Source organism: Homo sapiens, chromosome 10 (genome assembly GCF_000001405.40).
Source record: "Homo sapiens chromosome 10, GRCh38.p14 Primary Assembly".
In the NCBI taxonomy this organism is placed as follows: domain Eukaryota; kingdom Metazoa; phylum Chordata; class Mammalia; order Primates; family Hominidae; genus Homo; species Homo sapiens.
The window spans coordinates 11,819,755-11,844,537 of NC_000010.11; the positions used below are offsets into that span (position 1 = coordinate 11,819,755).

Below are 24,783 nucleotides of genomic sequence, written 5' to 3' on the forward strand. Positions count from 1 at the left end.
CTATCATTTGTTCAATTTGTTCAGATACACTTTAAAATACTTTCATTTTAGCCTTACAGGGTAGGCGTTAATAGCCTCATTATATAGATGAGGAACTGAGGCTCAAAAAGGATAAACAGCTTGAGGTAATAACAAATCATGTCTTTTACATCTCCCCTGTCAGATCCAAACTGCTGTCGATTTTTTAGTAAAGTTATGAAATTTTCTTACCTTTCTTTCTCCTTTCCTGTCTGCCTCCCTCTAGTGGTCATGATATATATTACAATATAGTACAGTTTCTGAAGTCTATTTATTTATTTATTTATTTTTGAGACGGAGTCTCGCTCTGTTGCCCAGGCTGGAGTGCAGTGGCGCGATCTCTGCTCACTGCAAGCTCCGCCTCCCGGGTTCACGCCATTCTCCTGCCTCAGCCTCCGGAGTAGCTGGGACTACAAGGCGCCCGCCACCACGCCTGGCTAATTTTTTGTATTTTTAGTAGAGATGGGGTTCACCGTGTTAGCCAGGATGGTCTCGATCTCCTGACCTCGTGATCCACCCGCCTCGGCCTCCCAAAGTGCTGGGATTACAGGCATGAGCCACTGCGCCTGGCTCTGAAGTCAATTTTATACAGTAATTAATATACTCCTTTATAACATGAAAAGACATAGCTTTTCTTTTTAGCTTACTTTAAAATTCTTAACCTATATAAAGTTCATTAATATTTCTTTAATATTTGGGGGTCATGTATTATCAGGATTTTCTTAGCAAAGACCAGCCTCAGAAAACATTTATGAAAAAGTCAAGTGACATTACAGTGAAATTTTAAAAATTTCATAAGTTTTAAAACTGTAACAATACAAAGACCCTCCAGATATTTCTTTGTTCATTTCTTTTCCTATGGACATTATCTAAGTACTTTCATAAATAACTATCTTTATTTAGTTATTTTTGAGACAGACCCTGTCACCTAGTCTGGAGTGCAGTGGCGCAATCTCGGCTCACTGCAACCTCCACCTCCTGGGTTCAAGCAACTCTCCTAGCTCAGCCTCCTGAGTAGCTGGTATTACAGGCATGTGCCACCACGCCCAGCTAATTTTTGTATTTTTGGTAGAGATGGGATTTCGCCATGTTGGCCAGGCTAGTCTCGAACTCCTGACCTCGGGTGATCCGCTTACCTTGGCTTCCCAAAGTGATGGGATTACAGGCATGAGCCACCGGGCCTGGCCAAATAACCATCTTTAAATTTCCCCCTGTAAACCATTTCTTTTCCTCTGACCTGGCTTCACTGTCCTTTCTCACTTTTTAGTCCCTTTGTGCATTCAGTTGTCATAAAGGTGCATAGGCCAGGGGGACATCAGGGCAGTGGACCAGCCTGAGCTAACTTTCTGGCCAGGTCTGTGCCAGGCCACAGGAGGGCCACCTGATCATAATTCCCATAAAGATTTAGGACATGCTAGCAGGGGCTGGCCTCACATCCCTAACTGCCTGTTGGTTGAAGCCTTCTCAGTCTCATTTTCTTCCTTGTTTATTTTCTGCTTCTATTTTTCTGCCTTTTTCTTTTCCCCTTCTTCCTTGCCAACCCCATCATCCTTCAATCTCATCCCTCTCATTTCTTTTTCAACTGTAAGAAAAGGCACCATAAAAGTTTAACCAAGCAAAAAGAATAATAAAAAGAAAAATAATTCTAGGAAGCATTTATCAACATTTATCAAAATTATCATTTATCAAAATCAAGGGAAAGTTTTTTTTTTCTCTTGATCTGATTTCCTTAAAGGGCCGGGCGTGGTGGCTCATGCCTTTAATCCCAGCACTTTGAGCGGCCCAGGGGAGAGGATCACTTGAGCCCAGAAGTTTGGGACTACCGTGAGAATTAGACCCTGTCTCTACAAAAAGAAAAATAAAAAATTAGCCAGGCATAATGGTTCGTGCCTGGAGTCCCAGCTTGGGAGGCTGAGGCAGGAGAATCACTTGAGCCCAGGAGTTGGAGGCTGCAGTAAGCTACAATTTCACCACTGCACTCTAGCCTGGGCAACAGAACCAGGCCCTGTCTCAAAAAATAAAATAAAATGAATTCCTTAAAGACAGCAGCTGCTATATTACCTGTCACCTATAGGTAGATGTTTAATATTACCATTTATTATGTCACTTCATGATAAATGCGTTCATATTTAACACAACATGAGACAAAAATGTAAGAGGGAAAATAAAAGAACATAACCAGAAAGCTTAGGTTTATTATTCACTGAGGATTAAGGATTGTCAGAGTTGATTGTCTCCTGGATTTTGTTCAGAAAGAGAGGATAATAATACTGACCCAATTAAGTAGCATGTTGGGTAGATTAAAGTGCTTTGTAAACATTAATTAAAGATGCAGGGAGTTAGGTGAGGCCAATGTGTTATTAGAGGAAAAGTTTTCTTCCCTTTAATCAGGTATCTCTTTCTGGGGAGGGCAAAGAAATGACCTCAGGACTAAGGCATTGGGGCTCAACCCTGAGTGGGGCCAGTGACTCAGTCATTCTGTGCAACCATTTCCTTCTTAGTTTTCTGTAAAATGGGAAGCAACACAAACATTTTGGGAATCTAGGTTGTTACAACGTTTGTCATTTGAGTATATAACAAATCCTACAATTAATACAACCCCATAACTCTTGCTTTCTCCCTGCCTACTGAGTTAAACCCAGTAACATTAACTTCCACCAACTTACAAAAGCCTTCCGCAACCAGCTATTAACCTTCGGAGATATTTCCACGGTGATAGCCTGAAGAAGAAAATGCAACGAGCCATGGGGTCAAAAATTCTCCCATGAGTTTCTTCAGCTGTCTGAACCTCAGCTTTCCTGCTCTGTAAAATGGGGTTAAGAAACCAGAAAACCATTTTAAGGATTAGATGAAATAATGTATGTGGTGTATGCACATTAAATGCTGTGTCTGAGGGTACAGGTATGCAATAAGTTGCATCAGCATTATTAAGTATAAAATAGCCTCTCAAAGCTGACCATAATAAAAAACAAAAGAAAAAATTAAAGGCCAGGTGCAGTGGCTCAGGCCTGTAATCCCAGCACTTTGGGAGGCTGAAGTGAGAGGATCGCGTGAGCCCAGGAGTTCGAGACCAGCCTGGGCGATATAATGAGACCCCCCCCCCCACCCACCCATCTCTACAAAAAATTTTAAAATTAGCTGGGTGTGGTGGCATGCACCTGTGGTACCAGCTACTCGGGAGGCTGAGATGCGAGTATCACTTGAACTTGGGAGGTGGAGGTTGCAGTGAGCCAAGATGGTACAACGTGCACTCCAGCCTGGGCGACACAGCAAGACCCTGTCTCAATAAAAATTAGATTAAATTAATGTCCCATCTCTTGCAAGCTTCAGACACACATCCCTATTGCTTTTCTCCGCGTGGGTCGCTCGGCGATGGGGTTGGGGATTTTCACGGTGCTGTCCCCCAACTCGAACTTCACACCTTGACCGAGGACCCCCGGGAGGCGGCCGCGAGGTCCCCCAGCGCGGCGGGGCCCGGCCCTTTAAGCGCCGCGGGCGCGCGCAGTGCGTGCCTAAGGAGTGCGAGTTCGGGCGGCGCGAGCGCGCGGCGGCAGTAGAGCGCGCGCGGGTGGGCGCGCACAGGGAGAGCGCGCGGCGGGGCGTCCCGGAACAGTCTGCGCCAGACGGGCGGCGGCGTGAGGGCTCCGGGTCGCTGGCGGCGTGGACACCTGAGTCCCGGGGTAGGGGTCTCCCGCGAGGTGAGTGGGGCCCTAGGACTCCGGGCAGGGCTGGAGCGACGGGAGGGCGTCCTGGCGGCGGTGGCGGCGCTGGGCTCTGGCTGGGACGCCGGCGGGTCGGGCAGAGAGGGGGCGCCGGACCCTGCCTTGGCGCGCTCCTCGCTCTGACTAGGGGAGCCCGGCGCCGCCGCCGCAGAGGCCACCCGGTGCCCGACCCCCGACCCCGGGGCGTCGCTGCCTCCTCGGGGACCTCGGAGTCGGGGCGCGGCGGGGAGCGCGCTGGGTTCCGAGTCTGGGGCTATCCTGGGGGCTCAGGGGTGGAGGCGGGTTTCCCAGCCTTGGGCGCAGAGGGTCCCCGCTGTCCCCACCGTCCGTCCCCCAACCCGGGACCCCTGTCCTTTGCGCCGTGGGACCCCATGCGGCCTCGGGGAGAGGGTGCGGGTCCGACACGGCGGGCGGAGCCACCTGTTCCACCCGGGCCCCCAGGTCCTGGAATCACGCGGGGATGTGCAGGGTCTGCCCAGCCCAGCGCGGCGGGAGGGACTAAAATAGAGGAGAAAATGTGGCCCGTGTGATGAAATTGAACAAAAGGCAGTAAAATAAACTCCAGTATTTCTCCAAGGCTTTGAAAGTTTCCCAGTATTGTTTTACGGAGTCTAAATTTAAGCATGTAGTTGTTTGGTGTATTTTTTTTTTCCTTAACCACAGGAACTAACCTCAGAAAACTTTTAACTCTACCAGAACCTAGTGCGTGCAGAGCAGAAAAGTTAAAGTGAGTGAAGGAAAATGAGTGTGTGTGTGTTTTTCCACCCTAAACAGAGTAAAACGTTCAGATCTGTAGGAAGAAGGTTCTTTCTGGCTCCAATTTTAACGGAGAACATTTTTTAAAAATCGGTATTTCTGAAAGGTATCGAAAGACCAAACCAGGCGTACGTGGAAACTTGAGGGAAATACTCATAGGAGAAAACTTTATTAAAAATACTTTTTACATTATTTTTTAAAAACACTACATAAAAGTGCCCCAGCATGCACTAAAAAGTTTGCCCTCCAAGTTCCGTGTCTGAATGTTACTGATTGTTTTTCTAGGTGGAGGAGGTATTTTCGTTCATGAAGCCAATGTGGAAATACAAACAAATGCCCTATTGACTTGGGATTGGGTGGGAAGGATGGAAGTTGTCTAAAATCTTTCTTGCCAAAGTTGACAGCGTATGTATGGAATCTTGTGTGTTTTCTTGTCCAGACTAGTAATAGCCATGTTAAAGCGACTGGATTATATTCCTTGGTAACAGCACTTCAAATGAGCTTTCTTTGAAAATTTTAGATGCTGATGATTTAAAAGTAACACATTTTCTCCATTACTAGAAATCAGAAATCCAAAATTAGAGTGATATAGTGGAGCGAAGGCTGGAAAGAGGAGCGATGCTTTTAGGAAGGTCTGAGCGTGTTTGAATCTGTGGTTGCCGGGGGTGGGGGAGTTGCCCATTAATTCATTCAGGAATATTTGTAGACTGACCACCTACAGCGCGCAGAGCCGTGACTGGTCGTCCAGCATACAGTCATTTCTAGATAACAGCCACATGGCCCAAACTGATTAAAACCAGATCAAGCAAGCCTTCATCGGCAGCTGAAGAGATACCTGGCCTTGGTTCCAAAGTTCTTAGACACCCAAGGCGCCCAGAGTTGGCACTGTGTGTTGATTTGGAAGATCATCTCAGATAACTCCAGGAGTGGAGCCTGGAAACCTGAAGGGGGAGAGAGGAAGGGCCTGCGTAGAGCAGAGCTGAGAACAGGGGAGCCTCTAGAACTTAGAAGTTCAAGTGCATCTTATCTGCAGTGTTGTGGGGCAGCTGCCGGTGGCACAGAGGCCATTCGGGAGGTGCCAGGGGAATCCTAGGAGCATCCCAGAACCTGAGCTCTTTCCTTTGACGGTGAAGGCCATCGTTGCGTTTCACTTTCCTTTGCACTTGGTGGCTTGCTTCCTAGGTGCCTCTGTGCTCTAAGAAGAGGGCCTTGCAACTCCGCCCCTGATTGACTGCAGCCGTCCCCGCTCCACTCTGAGGGGTCTCCTGGCCACCATAGGAAAGCCTGTGTTCATGGAGGCACTGCCCTCTGCACGGGTTATGTCCAGCCAGTGGCATCAACAGCCTCTGTCTGCGGAACTCACAGTGAAGGTGCCGCTTTCCATAATGCCCTTGTCCCCTTTCTAGACTGGCAGCATTCATCTTGAAACCTAAGAGTATTTTAAGAAAGTTGGTGCTAGGTTTCTAATCTGTGCATTCAGGATTGGCAGGGAAGGACTGTATGGGGAGAGCATTCTGCCTTGTCGGACAGGGATGGGAGAGCTCTTCGTGAACGTGTCTCTTCGGACTAGGTATTGCCAGAGACTGTAGCACTGTGAAGAGTTCATGCTGTTTATCTTTTTTATTATAGTCAAATACATAGAACATAAAATTTACCGCTTTAAAGTGCACAAATCAGTGGCATTAAGTACATTCCATTCCCAATGTTATGCAATCATCACCACTATCAAGTTCCAGAACTTTTTCATCACTCCAAAAGGAAACCCATTAAGCAGACGATTCCCATTGCCCTCTCCCAACCTCTGGCAGCCACTGATCTCCTTCTGTCTCGGTAGACTTGCCCCTTCTGGATGTTTATACAGATGGAATCTTAAAATCTGTGGCCTCTTGTGTCTGGCGTCTTTGACTTAGCACAATGTTTTTCAAGGTCCGTCCGTGTCGCGGCGTGTATCGTTGCTTCCCTCCTTTTTATCGCCGAATAATGTTCCATTGTGTGGACAGATCGCATTCTATTTACCCATTCATCAGATGAATGACTTTGGGTTGTTTCCACCTTTTGGCTATTGTGAATAGTACTGCTATGAACCGTTGTGTACAAGTTTTTGTTTGAACACCTGTTGTCAATTCTTTTGGGTCCGTACCTGAAAGTAGAATTCCCGGGTCATATGGTAATTCTGTGATTAACTTGCTGAGGAGCTGCCAACTGTTTTCTATAGCAGCTGTACCATTTTGTGTTCCCACTAGCAACGTGTGAGGGTTCTAATTTCTCGACATCCTTGTCAACCACTTGTTATTTTCCCCCGCCTTTTTATTTATGTATTTATGTATTTATCTATTTATTTTTTTGAGACGGAGTCTCTCTCTGTCAGCCAGGCTGGAGTGCAGTGGTGTGATCTTGGCTCACTGCAAGCTCTGCCTCCCGTGTTCACACCATTCTCCTGCCTCAGCCTCCTGAGTAGCTGGGACCACAGATGCCGCCCACCACCACGCCGGGCTAATTTTTTGTATTTTTAGTAGAGTCGGGGTTTCGCCGTGTTAGCCAGGATGGTCTTGATCTCCTGACCTCGTGATCCGCCGGCTTCGGCCTCCCAAAGTGCTGGGATTACAGGCATGAGCCACTGCACCCGGCCTTTTTTTTTTTTTTTTTTCCTCTGACATAGGATTTCACTGTGTTGCCCAGGCTGGAGTGCAGTGGCACGATCTCAGCTCACTGCAGCCTCAACCTTCCAGGCTCAAGTGATCCTCCCACCTCAGCCTCCAGGGTAGCTAGGACCACAGGCACGTGCCACCACGTCCAGCTGTGTTTTTGTGTTTTTTGTAGAGACTGGGTTTTGCCATGTTACCCAGGCTGGTCTCAAACTCCTGGGTTCAAGCGATCTTCCCACATCTGCCTTCCAAAGTGCTGGGATTACAGGCATGAGCCACCATGCTTCGCCTTCCTTTACAAAAAAAAAAAAAAAATTCCGGTCCTCCTAGTGGGTATGAAGTAGTATCTCATGGTGGTTTTGGTGCATTTCTCGAACGACTTCGTTGCTGGACATCTCTTCAGATGCTTGTTGGCCACATCTTCTTTAGAGAAATGTCTGCTGAGAACTCGATTCTCTTTTTGTGTTAGCTTTCGTATCATGAAATTTTGCATGTGACTAAGTACAGTTATTTGTATAGGGCTCGGTTTGTATATTTAGGTTCCTTCCTAAAGCTTCATTCTGTTGTGGGTTTTTTCCTGCTTTCTCTTTTAGGCTGCTGCTGCTTCTCCTCGGAAGCCAGTTGTCTGACTTGCGCTTTGTCATTTTTAATCTTCTGCCTGTTGTAGTTCTTGACCCCAAGCCTGGGGTATTGATCAGTTCATCTGGCAGTACAGTATTTATGGATTGACCACGTACAATGTGCCAAGCTGTTGAGCGGGTCATTGGGCATACAAACATGGAAGTCCTTTTTTTTTTTTTTGAGACATGGTCTCACTCTGTCACCTAAACTGGAATGCAGTGGCACAATCACAGCTCACTGCAGCCTCGACCTCCCAGGCTCAGATGATCCTCCCCCCTCAGCCTCCAGAGTAGCTGGGACTACGGGTGCGTGCCACCATGCCTGGCTAATTTTTGTATTTTTGATAGAGATGGGCCTCGCTGTGTTGCACAGAATGGTCTTGAACCCCTGGGTTCAAGCAGTCCCCCCACCTTAGCCCCTGAAAGTGCTGGGATTACAGGCAAGAGCCACCTTCTCTTTTTGATACATGTCTCTTTGTGATGTGCACAGATTACATTTTATTTTTTTTAATTAGGTTAATGGGCATATCAGGATAAAGAATGGTACTGCACTGGAATTTAAGGGATCTGTGTCAGGTTTCAGCCCCCAATAGCTGTGTGGCCTCAGGGTTCACCCTTCACCCTTCTGGAACTTGGTTTCCTGGTCTATAAAATTTAGGGTAAGGCTGAATGACTTCTCAGACCTTGAAACTGGAGTTTCACTATAGCTTTCCTTTACAAACCGGATTCTGGGGGTATTTCAAACCATTTAGTTTGCACATATTACTTAAAGGAACTCTCTGTGTGAAAAAAAAAAAAAAAAGTCTATACTCCTTTGTACTAGACTATAAACAGGTGAGTTGGGTCCATTGCTGCCTCCAAAAATAGTACAATTGGTATTTTCTATAAATATTCAGAGCATTTTGGCTGGGCACAGTGGCTTACACCTGTAATCCCAGCACTATGGGAGGCCAAGGCAGGCGGATCACCTGAGGTCAGGAGTTTGAGACCACCCTGGCCAACATGGTGAAACCCCATCTCTACTAAAAATACAAAAAATTAGCTTGGCATGGTGGTGTGTGCCTGTAATCCCAGCTACTCGGGAGGCTGAGGCAGGAGAATCGCTTGAACTCAGGAGGCGAAGGTTGTAGTGAGCCGAGATCACGCCACTACACTCCAACCTGGACGACAGAGCGAGACTTTATCTCCAAAATAAATAAATAAATAAACAAACATGCTGAGAGTTTAAAGAGTTGTAGTGAAGATTTGAGTTCCTAACACGCTGGGAATACGGAGGTGACTAAGGCAGTGTGGGCCCTGCTCCCATGAAGGCTTGCTTGGGTAAAGGAGACATTCAATGTCCGATGTGAATTGATAACAGAGACCCACAGGTGTTTTGGGAGCAGAGGACAGAGAGTCTTTCTGTCAGGGGTGTCAGAACACCAGCTGGAGAACGTAGCATTTGAGCTGGGCCAACAAGGGCAGCATAGGGGGCAATTTAGGCCAACATGGTGGAATTGAGGAGTCAGTTATTATGCCGCAAGGGGTTAGCCTTCCAGTCGGGGGCATGGACCAGCGAAGCTTTCTGAGTAGGTTGCAGTGGCAGATCTTGTTTCCCGGCTCTCCTGTGGAGTAGACGTTTACATATGGAGGGATTAACTTGAAGTTGAACAGGATGTTAGGGACTGAGGAAGACAGAATAGAAAAAGGAGGATATAAGATGGTATGAACAAGGGGAAGACACCTGGGCATGTCAATTGTCGAATTGAATTTTAGGTTCAAAAAAAAGTTTTTTAAAAGTATTACATACCCGGGCATGCTAGATCATGCCTGTAATCCCAACACTTTGGGAGGCCAAGGTGGGAGGATTGCTTGAACCCAGGAGTTTGAGACCAGTCTGGGAAACATAGGGAGACCCCCATCTACAAAAAATTAAAAAATTAGCCAGGTGTGGTAGTGTGTACCTGTAGACCCAGCTACTCAGGACGCTGAGGCAGGAGATGCTTGAGCCCAGGAGGTTGAGGCTACAGTGAGCTGTGATTGTGCCACTGCATTCTAGCCTGTAAGACAGAGCGAGACCCTGTCTCAAAAAAAAAAAGAGTGTTGTGCTACAGTAGAAAGCTAGAACCAGCTCTGTCAGACTTGCCAAACTGACTTAGAGGCGCTGTACCGTGGTTTCTTTATATGCCACAAATTGCCCTCCATCTACACCAGGTAACCAATGAATTTGTTGCATGAGCTCCTGCTAATGCCAGCAGTATCACTTTAAGAATGAGATGGCACTAAAATGTGCATGAGGTGAGTCTGCTCTGTTAATTTTCTTTTTTTTCTTTACTTCTGATTTTTTTTTTTTTTTTTTTTTTTTTTTAGACCAAGTCTCGCTCTGTCACCCAGGCTGGAGTGCAGTGGCAAGATCTTGGCTCACCGCAGCCTCCACCTCCTGGGCTCAAGCAATTCTCCCACCTCAGCCTCCGGAGTATCTGGGACTACAGGCGTGTGCCCCCATGCCTGGCTAATTTTTGCATTTTAGTAGAGACGGGGTTTTGCCATGTTGGCCATGCTGGTCTCGAACTCCTGAGCTCAAGTGATTCACCTACCTCAGCCTCCCAAAGTGCCGGGATTACAGGTGTGAGCCACTGTGCCAGCCACAATAGGCAGTTTTTCAGCCCTCCTCTCCCCACTCCATGGACCTTCCCACCTTTTGGAGTCTCCCGTGTCCATTATTTCACTCTGTGCATTTATGTGGACCCATCGTTTAGTTCCCACTTGTGAGAACATGCAGTGTTTGACTTTCAGAGTTAGAGTTTGACTTTCACTTAGGATAATGCCTTCAGTTCCATCCACGTTGCTGCAAAAGACATGATTGCATTCATTTTTATGGCTGAGTAGTCGTCCGTGGTGTTTATATACCACATTTTCTTTATCCTGTCGTCTGTCGATGGACGCCTAGATTGATTCTGTGACGGTTACTGTGAACAGCGCCGCGGTAAAGATGCAAGTGCAGGTGTCTTTTGATGTAATGATTTCTCTCCCTGTAGGTAGATAACCAGTAGTGAGATTGCTGGGTCCTGTGGTAGTTCTAGGTTTAGTCCCTGAGAAATCTCTATTCTGTTTTCCATAGTCGACTCTACCCTTGAGCTACTTAAAGGTGTCCTGATTTCTCTGAGAGAGGTTGATAGCCATTCCTTGGACTTCTGAAAATAGTAACATGGGAACTGTTAGTTGGAATCTTCCAGTTTTTTCAACAAACATTTGGTGGTCCCCATTGCTTAAAAATGTGCTAAAAACCCCTGCTTTCTCTCTGCCCTATTAAAACTGGGTAATGCCTTTGTGCCCACAGGCTTGGATTGACTTGAGGAATTTGCTAGCAGGTTCCCCAGAGGTATAGGAAGAGCGGGAGGAGAAGCAGCCTCTAGCTCCTGCCCAGAGAGGAGGTGGTTACTGGCCTCACCTTACTGACATCATCCATCATCTGGCTCGCAAAGGGACTGGTGGAAGATGAGGTTAAAAGTTTCATGCTTTGGATTCCCACCAGGAGGTCTTGTGTGAGCTTCTTCCACCCTGGTGTGGATTTAAATCTGTTCAACTTGAGATAAGATATGTAAATCAGACCACGGCTGCCAGTCTAACCAGGTGTTATAAATACCAGTGCTAAATGAACATGCTCTAAGCCAGCTTTCTTTTCACTGGGAGCATGGATTAAAAATTCAGCCAAGAATTTTGAGCTTCTTGGGGTGGGGGTGTTGGGGGAGCACTGTAGAACCCTAAACAATAAGGTGTAATAATTCCTTCCTAGCAAGAAGTACTACATTTATCTCATTAGTGAAGCACATATTGGGTGCTCGGTAATATTTGCTAAGCAAATAAAGACAAAGCACACAAACTTGTTTCACAAAAGTAGAATGACTTCAACTGGAATTTTCTTCTATCCATAAATAATTTGCTCAGGAATCCAGAAATGTAATAGACATACCAGCTGTCCATTTTTCAAAAATGAGCTGAGTAAAAAACATGCAGTGTCTCTCTTCACAAACATTTCTTTTTTCAATTTTCATTATTTTCCAAAACCTCGGAGATTGATACCAGTTTGCAAACATTGCATCAGCTAGAACTGTTCCCCAGCTAGACTCTGCTCTGGTTGACCTCCCCTCGCCTTCCTTCTGGGTCATTCCTTTTTGTTACTAGGACCCAATCAGATGTCTGGTCAAGATTGTTTTCAGGTGAGATTTTACTTTAGGAAAATCTGGTTTTGGTATCTTTTTCAGTGATGGCGAACCGACACTAGGAAACTTCTTCCCTCGAGGCCTGTTAAAACCCAGCCTCTCTAGGTAAGGCGACCTGGTGAACTTGTTTGCTTTAAGTGTGGGCGAAATCAATTACTTCCATGTGATGTGTGGCTGGGAGTAAATCACTGCTCCTATTAACACAGCTGAAACTATTCACAACAGAGACAGTTTGAAATCAACCTCGTTTTTGTATATTGTTCAGAAAGTGCTTTTTATTTTAAAAAAATAAATTTAAAATTAAAAAAATAAGTGAAAGCATGATCATTCTTCCAGGAAGTAGAATTACTAGCCTTTTAAAATCTGTGTTTAAGGTTCTAAGTTCTTACGTAAGGCATTTCAGAAGTAAGGGAAATCCCAGTTTGGAGGAAAAGCAGAATCATAGGAAAAGGGTGCTAAACCGTGACCGCATCAATGTTTCAAACTCCAGAACAAAACTGCCCACACTCCCAGCAGCCAACTTCCACCTGGATCTTTCTTTGATCTTCAGTGCTGGGATATAGTCCTCGTTTGCTTAGGGAGAATTTTTGGAAGCATTCTTTTCTTTCCAAGGTTTTTTTCTTGAAATTGAGAAATAGCGCAGACTAAAGAGTAGTTGCTTCATATGCTTCATATTTATTTTACTGCAGCCTCTGTATTTCTGTGGAGGCCCATTTTTAAGATTAATTTTGTTCATGGATTACACGTGTAGAGCATACACATTCATATTGACATGGATTACCTGTTAATATTGGGAGGCGTTACTGGGTTAGCGTGTGTAATGTTTATTGGTGTCAACTTTTTAATACATCGTTATTTATGAAGCTGGGTTAAACGTCCTTTCTACTGCTGTGTGTTTAAACTCACTCCCCTCCACCGCCCCATGTCCCGATTTAAATGTATAAATTGGATGAGATTAATTTCTCCTAAATTGGAAGGACTTGATCTATAAATATGGTGGAGAGGGAGGGATAATAACCACACTGATGTTAACATGTCTGAAACTACTCTTAAGTATTTAAGCTTTTCTTTTAGATCCAAGGTCTGTTTTTAGGGTGCTCTTTTTTTTTTATTTAGATGGTTTTAGAGTTTTGTTTTGTTTTTGAGACAGGGTGTCACTCTGTCACCCAGGCTAGAGTGCAGTGGCTCAGTCTTTGCTTAGGGCATCCTCCACCTCCCAAATTCAAGCAATTATCCCACCTCAGCCTCCCGAGTAGCTGGGATTACAGGCACACGCCACCATGCCCGGCTAATTTTTGTATTTTTTGGTAGAGACAGCATTTCACCTTGTTGGCCAGGCTGGTCTCAAACTCCTGACCTCAAGTGATCCGCCCACCTCAGCCTCCCAAAGTGCTGGGATTACAGGCATGAGCCATTGTACCCGGCTGGTTTTAGAGTTTTTAAATATGAATTTTGGTTAAGTAACAAATAGTGATTAAGTCTGTATTTTGTGACAAGTATTATACAAAATGTTGTGGCTTTTTTTTTTTTTTTTTTTTTAGTTCTTTGCTGGGTGCAGTGGCTCACACCTGTAGTCCCAACTCGGGAAGCTGAGGCAGGAGGATTGTTTGAGCCCAGGTGGTTCAGGCCAGCCTGGGTGATGTAATGAGACCCCATCTCCAAAAAAATTTTTTTAATTAAAAAGCTTTGCCGGCTGGGTGTGGTGGCTCACACCGGTAATCCCAGCACTTTGGGAGGCCAAGAGGGGTGGATCACCTGAGGTCAGGAGTTCGAGACCAGCCTGGCCAACGTGGTGAAACCCCATCTCTACTCAAAATACAAAAATTAGCTGGGTGTGGTGGCTGGTGCCTGTAGTCCCAGTTACCCTGGAGGCTGAGGCAGGAGAATCTTTTGAACCCAGGAGGCAGAGGTTGCAGTGAGCCGAGATCATGCCATTGCACTCCAGCCTGGGTGACAAGAGTGAGGCTCCATCTCAAAACACAAAAAAAGAGCTTTGCCTACAAGGAGTTTATCGTCTAATGGAGGAAAACAAGAATTACATGCAGAAACCTTATGGGATCAATTGTATCCAAGTGGGAAAAATGGCACATAGAGTGAGCAAGTGGTGGGTATCAACAGCAGACATGAGAGTCCGGCGGGGAGGCCAGTGATGAAGGAGTCACGAAGGCTTGACCATGTTCGGTAGAGTTTTTGAGCCAAGCTTTGAAGCCTGGGAGGAGGGCAGCAGGGAGGCAGTGGGAAGGGGTTCCCAAGTGAGTAGCTCTTTCTTTTTTTTTTTTTTTTTTTTTTTTTTTTGAGATAGAGTCTCGCTCTGTCGCCTAGGCTGGAGTGCAGTGGTGCAGTCTCAGCTCACTGCAACCTCTGCTTCTCGGGTTCAAGCGATTCTCCTGCTTCAGGTTCCCAAATAGCTGGGATTACAGGCACTCACCACCACACCCAGCTAATTTTTGTATTTTTAGTAAAGACAGGGTTTCACCATGTTAGCCAGAATGATCTCGATCTTTTGACCTCGTGACTTACCCACCTCGGCCTCCCAAAGTGCTGGGATTACAGGCGTGAGCCACCGCGCCTGGCCATGAGTAGCACTTTCATAGGAGACCTGGTTCAAATTGTGGAAAGGAAGGTGGAAGAGACAAGGCTAGGCCAGATTCTAGAGAGACACTTTTTAAAGCCTCACGTTCTTACAGATCGGCTCCTTGGCAGTACAGATGAGGAAAATGAAAACTCAGCCACCTGGCAGGGCGTGGTGGCTCATGCCTGTAATCCCAGCACTTTGGGAGGCCGAGGCTGGTGGATCATCTGAGGTCAGGAGTTCGAGACAAGCCTGGCCAACCTGGTGAAACCCCATCTCTACTAAAAATACAAAAATTAGCCGGGTATGGTAGTGCATACCTGTAATCCCAGCTACTCAGGAAGCTGAGGCAGGAGAATCATTTGAACCCAGGTGGTGGAGGTTGCAGTGAGCCAAGATCGCACCATTGCACTCCAGTCTGGGTGACAGAGCAAGACTCCATCTCAAAAAAATAAATACATAAAACTCGGCCACCTTGCCTGGCCTGTGGTATCAAGAGTAAACTGGGATTTTAGAAATGTTAGTTATTGAGGCTGGGCGCAGTGGCTCACGCCTGTAATCAATCCCAGCACTTTGTGAGGCTGAGATGGGTGGATCACTTGAGGTCAGGAGTTCGAAACCAGCCTGGCCAACATGGTGAAACCCTGTGTCTACTAAAAATACAAAAATTAGCCAGGCATGGTGGCAGGTGCCTGTAATCCTAGCTACTTGGGAGGCTGAGGCAGGAGAATTGTTCAAACCCGGGAGGCAGAAGTTGCAGTGAGCTGAGATCATGCCACTGCACTCCAGCCTGGGCGACAGAGTGAGAATCTGTCTTAAAAAAAAAAAAAAAAAAGAAAAAGAAAAAGAAGTGTTAGTTATTGCAATATCTGGTAGTTTACAGGTGGGTGTGGTATGAGTGTTGGTTTCTTTTGACCTTGGAGGAAGAAAACGCTCTAGGAGCCCCAGCTCCTCTTACCTCTGCCTGAAGTTGGCTCTGTGCACTTGTGTATGAATGTGCAACTTTAGTGTGGTGGGGACAGGGATGACATGGACATTGGGCTAGGTGTGTGAACGTAGAGAAGGAACCAGGCGTGTGCTCAGAGCTCTCGGGTGTGTCATGATAACTAGGGTAAAATCCTATTTTTACGAAAGTAGTCTATAAATTACTTTTAGAGTAAAAAGGAAATGGTTAATTTAGTCTAAGGGATTGTTTTTGTTTTTTAAAGCCCTACTTAAGTCGAATAATAGAAAACAAAGAATGTATGGACTCAGTTTCCTTCAATTTATGAATTGAGTTTAAAAAACTCTACAAGAGTCTTGACATCATTCATTGCTTCCTTTTCCAGTACATTTCTTATTATAAAACTCATTTTTGTTAATACACAATTACATAAAAATAGGAAGTAACACAGAACCAGATAGAAACTATGAAAAAACAGGACTCTTTTCTTCGTTTGAGTAAAATCAAAGCAAAGTGCCTGTCACATAGAAGACACTGATGCCTGTTCACATGGATGAATGTCGTCAAGAGCCACTAGCATTAGGGCCAACAATGGCTGTTTTGTGTTTACTGATCTTTATTTTCACCCACCGCTTCCCCATATGAAGAAGCCCACTCATGGTAGTGAGCGGGGTGATTCAGAAAGAGTTCCCACCGTGAAACGCTCTCATTCATGGTGCTCTTGAAGGTCAAGGAAAACACAGCTTTTTGAAAAGGGCTTGGCTGTTAAGTCACCATATAGGGATTTTGGGGGGATGTGGCTTTATTTATTTATCTAGAGACAGAGTCTCACTCTGTCGCCCAGGCTGCAGTGCAGTGGCACGATCTTGGCTCACTGCAACCTCGGCCTTCTGGGTTCAAGCGATTCTCCTGCCTCAGTCTCCCGAGTAGCTGGGATTACAGGCGTCCACCACTATGCCCGGCTAATTTTTTTTATTTTTTTGAGACAGAGTCTCACTCTGTTGGCCAGGCTGGTGTGCAGTGGTGTGATCTCCACTCACTGCAGCCTCCACCTTCCAGGTTCAAGCGATTCTCCCATCTCAGCTTCCCAAGTAGTTGGGATTACGGGCGCATACCACCACACCCGGCTAATTTTTGCATTTTTGGTAGAGATGGGGTTTCACCATGTTAGCCAGGCTGGTCTCGATCTCCTGACCTCAGGTGATCCTCCCACCTCGGCCTCCCAAAGTGCTGGGATTACAGGTGTGAGCCACCACGCCTGGCCAGGATGTCGCTTTAAAGACAATTTCTTTCCTAAGATATGTTTATTCTATATTTTGGAACAAATCTTCACAAAATTCATGGTATGCACGCCGGCCCCTTCCTAGCGTGTAGGTGTGCACTTTGACCCTGCTGTAGTGTGTAAGTATGCTCACTGACCTCTGCCCTACTGTATATCCTGACACAGGAAGGGGGATGTCTTTTAGAAGCTCATTTCTACCTCTTTCCCAGCTCAACTGTGCTTGTCTTGACTGTATCTTAAAAGTGCTGGTTAATGGTGGGTGTCTGGACAAGGTAGGAGAGTCTATAAACCTATACCGAAGTCCTCTCTTATACACGGTTTTGCTTTCCATAGTTTCGGTTACTTGCAGTCAACCGTGGTCCAAAAATATGCGATGGAAAATTCCAGAAATAAATCCTTCATAAGTTTTAAATTGTGCACCATTCTGAGTAGTGGGATGAAATGCGTCGTTCTGATCCATTGCCTCCTGCATGCGAATCCTCCTTTGCCCGGAGTCCCCACCTGCCCATCACTTAGTAGCCAACTCAGTTCTCAGATCAGCTGTCTATGTGGCCGTGCTTATGTTCAAGTCACTTTTATTTAATAATGGCCCTGAAGCAGAAGAGGCATGATGCTGGCTGGTAATTTGTATATGCTGAAGAGAAGCTACCAAGTGCTTCCTTTAAGTGAAAAGATGTGAAAGTTCTGAACTTGGAGAAGAAAAAAAAATCAAATGCTGAGGTCGCTGAGACCTACTGTAAGAACAAATCATCTTCTGTCTGTGAAGGTGTGAAGAAGGAAAAAGAAATTTATATTAGTTTTGCTGTCACACTTCATACGTTCAAGTTATGACCACTGTGTGACAAGTGCTTAGGGACATTTGTAGGTAGAAGACATGAACACGAGCTCCGATTGCTGGCAGACGGGTTGGGATTGGTGCTGTCTGCAGATCCAAGCATCCACTGAGGGTCTTGGAACATACCCCCTCAGAGAAGGGAGAACTGCAGCAATATAGGTACATGGGGTTGTCTTCAGACCCAGCCTGGACCTGTTTTTGTGAAGTGTTTGCAATGGCAATGAGTTGCGTAACATAGACATACTAAGCAAGATTGGTTCTACATCACTTGGTTAAGGGGAATAATTTTTCCATTCACGTTCAGAACTACCAAAGACAGTAATGACCTTGTGATTTGGTTGAAGCTGTCTGTAGGGAATCCAAGTCTTATAAGACACGATTTCTTTCCCTCACATTTCCTCGGTGCAAAACCTAATAGTAGAATGTGAGAAACTTCATATTATTTGTTCCAGCTTAGATTCTTCAGTAAAGTGCGTTGGGTTAACCGTTCCCTGGTTAGTTTTGAGCTGAACTGTGATGCTAGAAAAGGTTACCTTCGGGGTTTTTCCTCTTCCTGTTCGTACACCCTTGCGGTCTTCGGACTTCCCTCCTGAATTGCCCCGGGGTTTCTAGGTGGTGCCTGTCTTTTCTTCCCTCATTAGATCATAACTTATCTGCCTGTATCATCTCCTGACATACTGGGTCTTTCAAAGGCTCCAAGGTGCTGAAATGACCTGATAAATCATTTCTTTAACCTCCAGGAAACCTTTCCTTTCTGTGTTGGTAGCAGCCAGACTCAGGTGCCCTCCGGTGAGTGAGGCGGGCGGGTGTCTATTTTAGAACAATCAGGTCATGCCCCCGACACACACTCACCCCCCAGACTCACCAGTGGCATTCGGGCCTGGCTATGCATGTAAAATACAGCGCTGGGTTTTAAATGTACATGAATAGAATTGCACTAAGAATCTAACTCTGACTTTTCATTGAGTGCTTTGAAGGTCTGTGCATGGCCTCATCCAGCTGATCTAACTGATGTGCAGTATTCCGTAGTAAGCATTTACCACGTTTCTACTTATAGAAAGTTCATGGTAGGCGAAGAACCTGGACTGCCACCAACTCTTCTCAACAGCAGGCAACACTGTATACCCATCCCGGCACGTGTTTCCACATGTTCCTAGTAGACAGCTCCCCTGGAGTGAAGGCTGAGCAGTGGAATGTGTGGCTCGTAGGACACGCTTAGTTTCTCTAAGTATTGCCCAGTTGCCCTACAGAAAGGTTGTATGAATTCATTCCCAGCAGGTTCACCAAGGTTGACCCACATTCTTGCTGACACTTGTTATTTTTTGTCTAATTTTTGCCACTCCAGTAGGTATTAAATAATGTAGTAGTTTTAGCTTGCACTTTTTTTGTTCACTAGTGAGGTTGAACATCTGTCTTGTACTTAATAATCATCTGGTTTCCTCGTTTGTACACTGTCTAATCATATTCCTTGTTCATTATTTTTTTCTGAGTTTCTTATTAGTTTAGAAGGTTTTCTTATATTCTAGCTATCAATTCCTTATACGTATTAGACATAGTACATATCTTCTATGAGCTGGCAGCTTTTCTCTTAATATTGTCTATGGTGTCCTTAATTTTTATGTAGACAGATGCATTGAAATTTTCACCTTATAACTTGTATTTTTTGAGTCCTAATGAATAGAAAGATTAATAGAGCAAAATAGGAAATTCAGAAATAGAACCAAAAACATATAAACATTTAGTACAAACAACATTAGTATTTCAAAACAGTGGTAAAAGATGGGTCCTTCAGTACTTGGCACTTGAGCTGTCGGATAACCTTCTTGGCTTGAGGGCAGGGAGCAGGTCTCTACTCCACACATTACACTGACATAAATCCAAGGCAGATCAGATATTTAAATATGAAAAGTGGAACCATAAAAATGCTAGTAGAAATTCGAGAGGTATATTCTATATTCTTAGAGTAAGAAAGGCCTAAATTTGCAAAAACACAAGCTATAAACAAAAAGATTGATAAATTCAACTACATAAAAATAAATTCTTTAGGTCATATTACAAATTTTAAAAAAATACTTGCAATTTATATCAAGCGATTTCTGTTGGATAGAAATAAAACTTTCCAGTCTGTTTCACTGCTGTCTATCCTAGTACCAGTGCCTTGTGTTTTACTTACTGCTACTTTATAATAACTCCTTGGCTGGGCGCGGTGGCTCACGCCTGTACTCCCAGCATTTTGAGAGGCCAAGGTGGGCAGATCATAAGGTCAGGAGTTCAAGACCAGCCTGGGCAACATGGCGAAATCCCGTCTCTACTAAAAACACAAAAATTAGCTAGATGTGGTGGGGGGCACCTGTAATCCCAGCTACTCGGGAGGCTGAGGCAGGAGAATCGCTTGAACCCGGGAGGCAGAGGTTGCAGTGAGCTGAGATCATACCACTGCACTCCAGCCTGGGCAACAGAGTGAGATTGTCTCAAAAAAAAAAAAAAAAGACTTAAAATACAATATGGAATAGCAGTGGTGAAAATAGGAATGATTTTTAATATTTTCCAGTAAGTATGGTGTTTGCTGTCATTTATTTTTATTTTTATTTTCATTTTATTTATTTATTTATTTATTTTTGAGACAAGGTCTAGCTCTGTCACCCAGGCTGGAGTGCAGTGGCCATGATCTCAGCTCACTGCAACCTCAGCCTCCCAGTCTCAAGTGATTCTCCTGCCTCAGCCTCCCAAGTAGCTGGGACTACAGGTACACTCCTCCACCCCTGGGTAATTTTTGTATTTTTAGTAGAAATGGGGTTTCGCCATCTTTGCTGGGCTGGTTTCAAAAGCCTGACCTCAGGTGATCCTCCTGCCTTGGCCTCCCAAAGTGCTGGGATTATAGGTGTGAGCCACCACGCTGTCCTCATTTGTTGTCATTAAAAAAAAAAAAAAGAAAAACTCTTATTTAGTTAACAAAAAAATTCCTCCTAATTTGTGAAGTTTTAAAAACATTTCTGCATAATTTTAAGTTTCTCAAATGCTTCTTTCATCATCTATTGAGATGATTGAATGGCTTTTCTAATTTAACCTGTTAATGTGCTACATCACGTTGGAAAATTAATGTTAGGCCAACCTTACAATCTTGGGATTAACTCTTCTTTATCATTATTTGGTTTATAGACCCAGTTTACTAATAATTTTATTTGGGACTTTTTGCATCTGCATTCTTAAATGACTGGCTTGTCATTTTTCCTTTCTCATATATTCTTTGGGTTTTGGTGTCAAGGTTTTAGTAGCCTCAAAATTAGATAGTGGGGGCCAGGCGCGGTGGCTCATCCCTTGGCCAGCACTTTGGGAGGCCAGGGCAGGTGGATCACCCTGAGGTCAGGGGTTCGAGACCAGCCTGGCCAACATGGCGAAACCCTGTCTCTACTAAAAATACCAAAATTAGCTGGGCGTGGTGGCTCATGCCTGTAATCCCAGCTAATTGGGAGGCTGAGGCAGGAGAATCGCTTGAACCAGGGAGGCGGAGGTTACAGTGAGCGAAGATTGCACCATTGCACTCCAGCCTGGGCGTCAGAGTGAGACTGTCTCAAAAAAAAAAAAAAAAAAAAAAAAAAAAAAAAAATATATATATATATATATATATATATATATATATATGATGGTGGGGGTTGTTTTTCTCTTCTCTGGAAAAGTTTGTGTAAGGTTGGAGTTATTTGTTCCTTGAATGTTTGGTAGAACTCTCCAGCAAAACTTTCTCACCTGCTTTTCACTATTGAAAGATTTTTGTCTGCCGATTCATTTTCATTAGTGGTTATAAGACTTCAGATTTTTTATTTTATTCTTGAATAAGCTTTAACGAGATATTCTTCCAGGAATTTGTCCATTTCATCCATGCTTTCAAATTTACTAGCATAAAATTGTTCATAAAAACCTTTTCAACACCCATGGCACCTACAGTTATGTCCCCACTTTTTATTCTGATATTGTTCATCCATTTTTCCCCTCAGTTCTGTTGAAAGTTTGTCAATTTTATTAATATTTTCAAAAACCAATTTTTTGTTTTATTTTTCTCTACTGTATGTTTTTCTATTTAATTTCATGTTCTTTTTCTTGTTGATTTTGTATTTATTCTTTTGGGTTTTTCCTAACTTAAGTTAGATGCTTGGTTCATTAAATTTCAGCCTTCTTGCCTAATGTCACAGGCATTTCAGTGATGTTTGAGCTGCATCCCACAGGTTTCGATAGGTAGCGTTTCTGTTATTTACTTACGAGTATTTCTCAATTCCCAATATTGTTTCTGAGAGTTATTTAGAAGTATAAATTCCTAGTGCCTACACACATGGGTTCTTCCAGTTACCTTTAGTCTATTGATTTCTAATTTAATTGCTTTGTAGTAAACAAATATATATTTGATACCAGTCTCTTAAAATTTGCTGAGACTTGCTTTCTGACCCCATGTCATCAGTTCTCCTACGTATTCTGCATGAGTCTGAAAGAATGTGTATTGTGAAGCTGTTGCGTATAATGTGTTGTAAATCTTGATGAGATCAAACTTCCCATTATATTGTTTAAGTCTTCTGTATTCTCAGGCTTGATAAATCAGTTGCCAAGAAAGGTGTGCGAAAGGCCAGGCTTCCTAGCACTTTGGGAGGCCGAGGCAGGCGGATTGCCTGAGCTCAGGAGTTTGAGACCAGCCTGGGCAACATGTGGAACCCCATCTCTACTAAAATACAAAAAATTTGCCGGGTATGGTGACGTGAGCCTGTGGTCCCAGCTACTTGAGAGGCTAAGGCAAGAGAATCGCTTGAACCCGGGAGGTGGAGGTTGTAGTGAGCTGAGATCGCGCCACTGCAATCCAGCCTGGTTACAGAGTAAGACTCAGTCTCAAAAAAAAAAAAAATCCAGTGTGACAATGTTTTTATTTTAACTGGATCATTTTCCATTAAATGTAATTATGCAAATATTTACATTTTTATCATAATTTGTGCTTTTTATTTGTCCTCTTCTGTTTTGTCTTTTGTCCTTGCCTTCTTTTGGAATGATTTTTTTTTTTAATCTTTCATTTATCCCCTCCTCTAATTTAGATGGTAAATGTTCTGGGTTTTTTTTTAGTGGTTTCTCTAGAAATTTTAACATGAATGCTTATACAATTTTAAAGTTGGTCAACATTTTAACTTCCTCCAAAACTCAAATCCCCTCCCTCCCATGTGTGTGCTGTCACTGTGGTGTGTTTCAGCTCTGCCTTGTAGTAGAAAACAAGACTGTTTGATATACTGTTTGTTTACATTTACTCGCATTTTTAGTCCAAATCTTTCCTCCCTGAAATAGAGCCTTTTTAAAACTGTGCTCTATTGGTAGCCGACTCGCTCTGTTTTTATTTATATAGAAATTTATAACATTTTCCTTTGGTCTTTTTTTCCACAGACTTTTTTTAATCTGAGGTACAGATTTTCAGCAGTTATAATCTTCAGCAGTTTTTCCCAAATATATGTATGTATACATGTACATATGTGTGCGTGAATGTGTGTATTTTTCAGCCTGTCTTGGTTTCAGATGAAACAGAACTCCTCATTTTCTATACTATTTTGCCATTGTTCTTTTTTTTTTTTTTTTTTTTTTTTTTTGAGATGGAGTCTTGCTCTGTCGCCCAGGCTGGAGTGCTGTGGCACGATCTCGGCTCACTGCAAGTTCCGCCTCCTGGGTTTACACCATTCTCCTGCCTCAGCCTCCCGAGTAGCTGGGATTACAGGCGCCCGCCACCATGCCCGGCTAATTTTTTGTATTTTTAGTATAGACGGGGTTTCACCATGTTAGCCAGGATGGTCTTGATCTCCTGACCTCGTGATCCGCCCACCTCGGCCTCCCAAAGTGCCGGGATTACAGGTGCGAGCCACCGCACCCAGCCTTGCCATTGTTCCTGAAAGAATATTTTTATAGGCCAGGTGCAGTGGCACACACCTGTAATCCCAGCACTTTGGGAGGCAGAGGCAGGCGGATCACCTGAGGTCAGGAGTTCAAGACCAGCCTGGCCAACATGGTGAAACCCCATCTCTACTAAAAATACAAAAAAAGGCCGGGTGCGGTGGCTCACGCCTGTAATCCCAGCACTTTGGGAGGCCAAGGCGGGCAGATCATGAGGTCAAGAGATCGAGACCATCCTGGCCAACATGGTGAAACCCCGTCCCTACTAAAGATACAAAAATTATAGGCGCGTGGTAGCACACGCCTATAGTCCCAGCTACTCGAGAGGCTGAGGCAGGAGAATTGCTAGAACCTGGGAGGCAGAGGTTGCAGTGAGCCGAGATCGCACCACTGCCTTCCAATCTGGACGACAGAGCGAGACTCTGTCTCAAAAAAAAAAAAAAAAATTAGCCCACCGTGGTGGTGGGCTCCTGCAATCCCAGCTACTTGGGAGGCCGAGGCAGGGGAATCACTTGAACCTGGGAGGCAGAGGTTGCAGCGAGCCAAGATCATGCCACTGCACTCCAACCTGGGTGATAGAGTGAAACTCCATCTCAAAAAAAAGAATATTTTTATAGTACATATAGATTTAGGTTGAGGGTTTTTTTTTTTTCTCAATGGGATTGTTTCCATTGTTGCTGTTTCAAGAAGTCAGTCTAATTATCACTTCTTTGAAAATAATCTGTCTTTTCTTTGAGTGCATTTGATTGATTGAGACAGGGTCTTTGCCCTGCCCCCTAGGCTGGAGTCCAGTGGCATGATCACAGCTCACTGCCACCTCCAACTCCTGGCCTCAAGTGATCCTCCCACTGCAGCCTCCCCAGCAGCTAGGACTATAGGCATGTCCTGCCGTGCCTGGCTATTTTTTAAATTTCTTATAGAGATAAGGTCTCACTATGTTGCCCAGGCTGGTCTTGAACTCCCAACCTCAAGAAATGCTCCCACTCAGCCTCCCAAAGCACTGGGATTACAGGTATGAGCCACTGCACCCAGCCACTTTGAATATTTTTACAGTATCTTTAAGTTTTTCAAAAGGTAATACATTCATATGGTTAAAAAAGAAAAGGTAATTATATTTCTAAAAACTCTACATTTAACTCTTGTCCTCAACTCACTTCTACCCCTCACGCCCAACAATTGTTCTTGACTTGTATATCCTTCCAAAGTTTCTTATGCATGTAACAACAAATACAAATATACATTCTTAATCTGTAATCTCTTGGTTTTACACAATGCATAGTA

The 24,783-nt window shown here is 44.4% G+C and overlaps 1 protein-coding gene across 2 annotated transcripts in view; it reads left to right on the forward strand.

Annotated features, from left to right (window-relative positions):
- The first annotated feature begins 3,601 nt into the window (after positions 1-3,601).
- The window catches only part of PROSER2 (proline and serine rich 2), a 48,922-nt gene continuing 27,740 nt past the window's right edge, over positions 3,602-24,783 (forward strand). For both annotated transcript variants that reach the window (XM_011519438.3, NM_153256.4), the window contains exon 1: positions 3,602-3,716. The gene's annotated coding sequence lies outside the window, so the exon portion shown is untranslated. The remainder of the gene's footprint in view (positions 3,717-24,783) is intronic.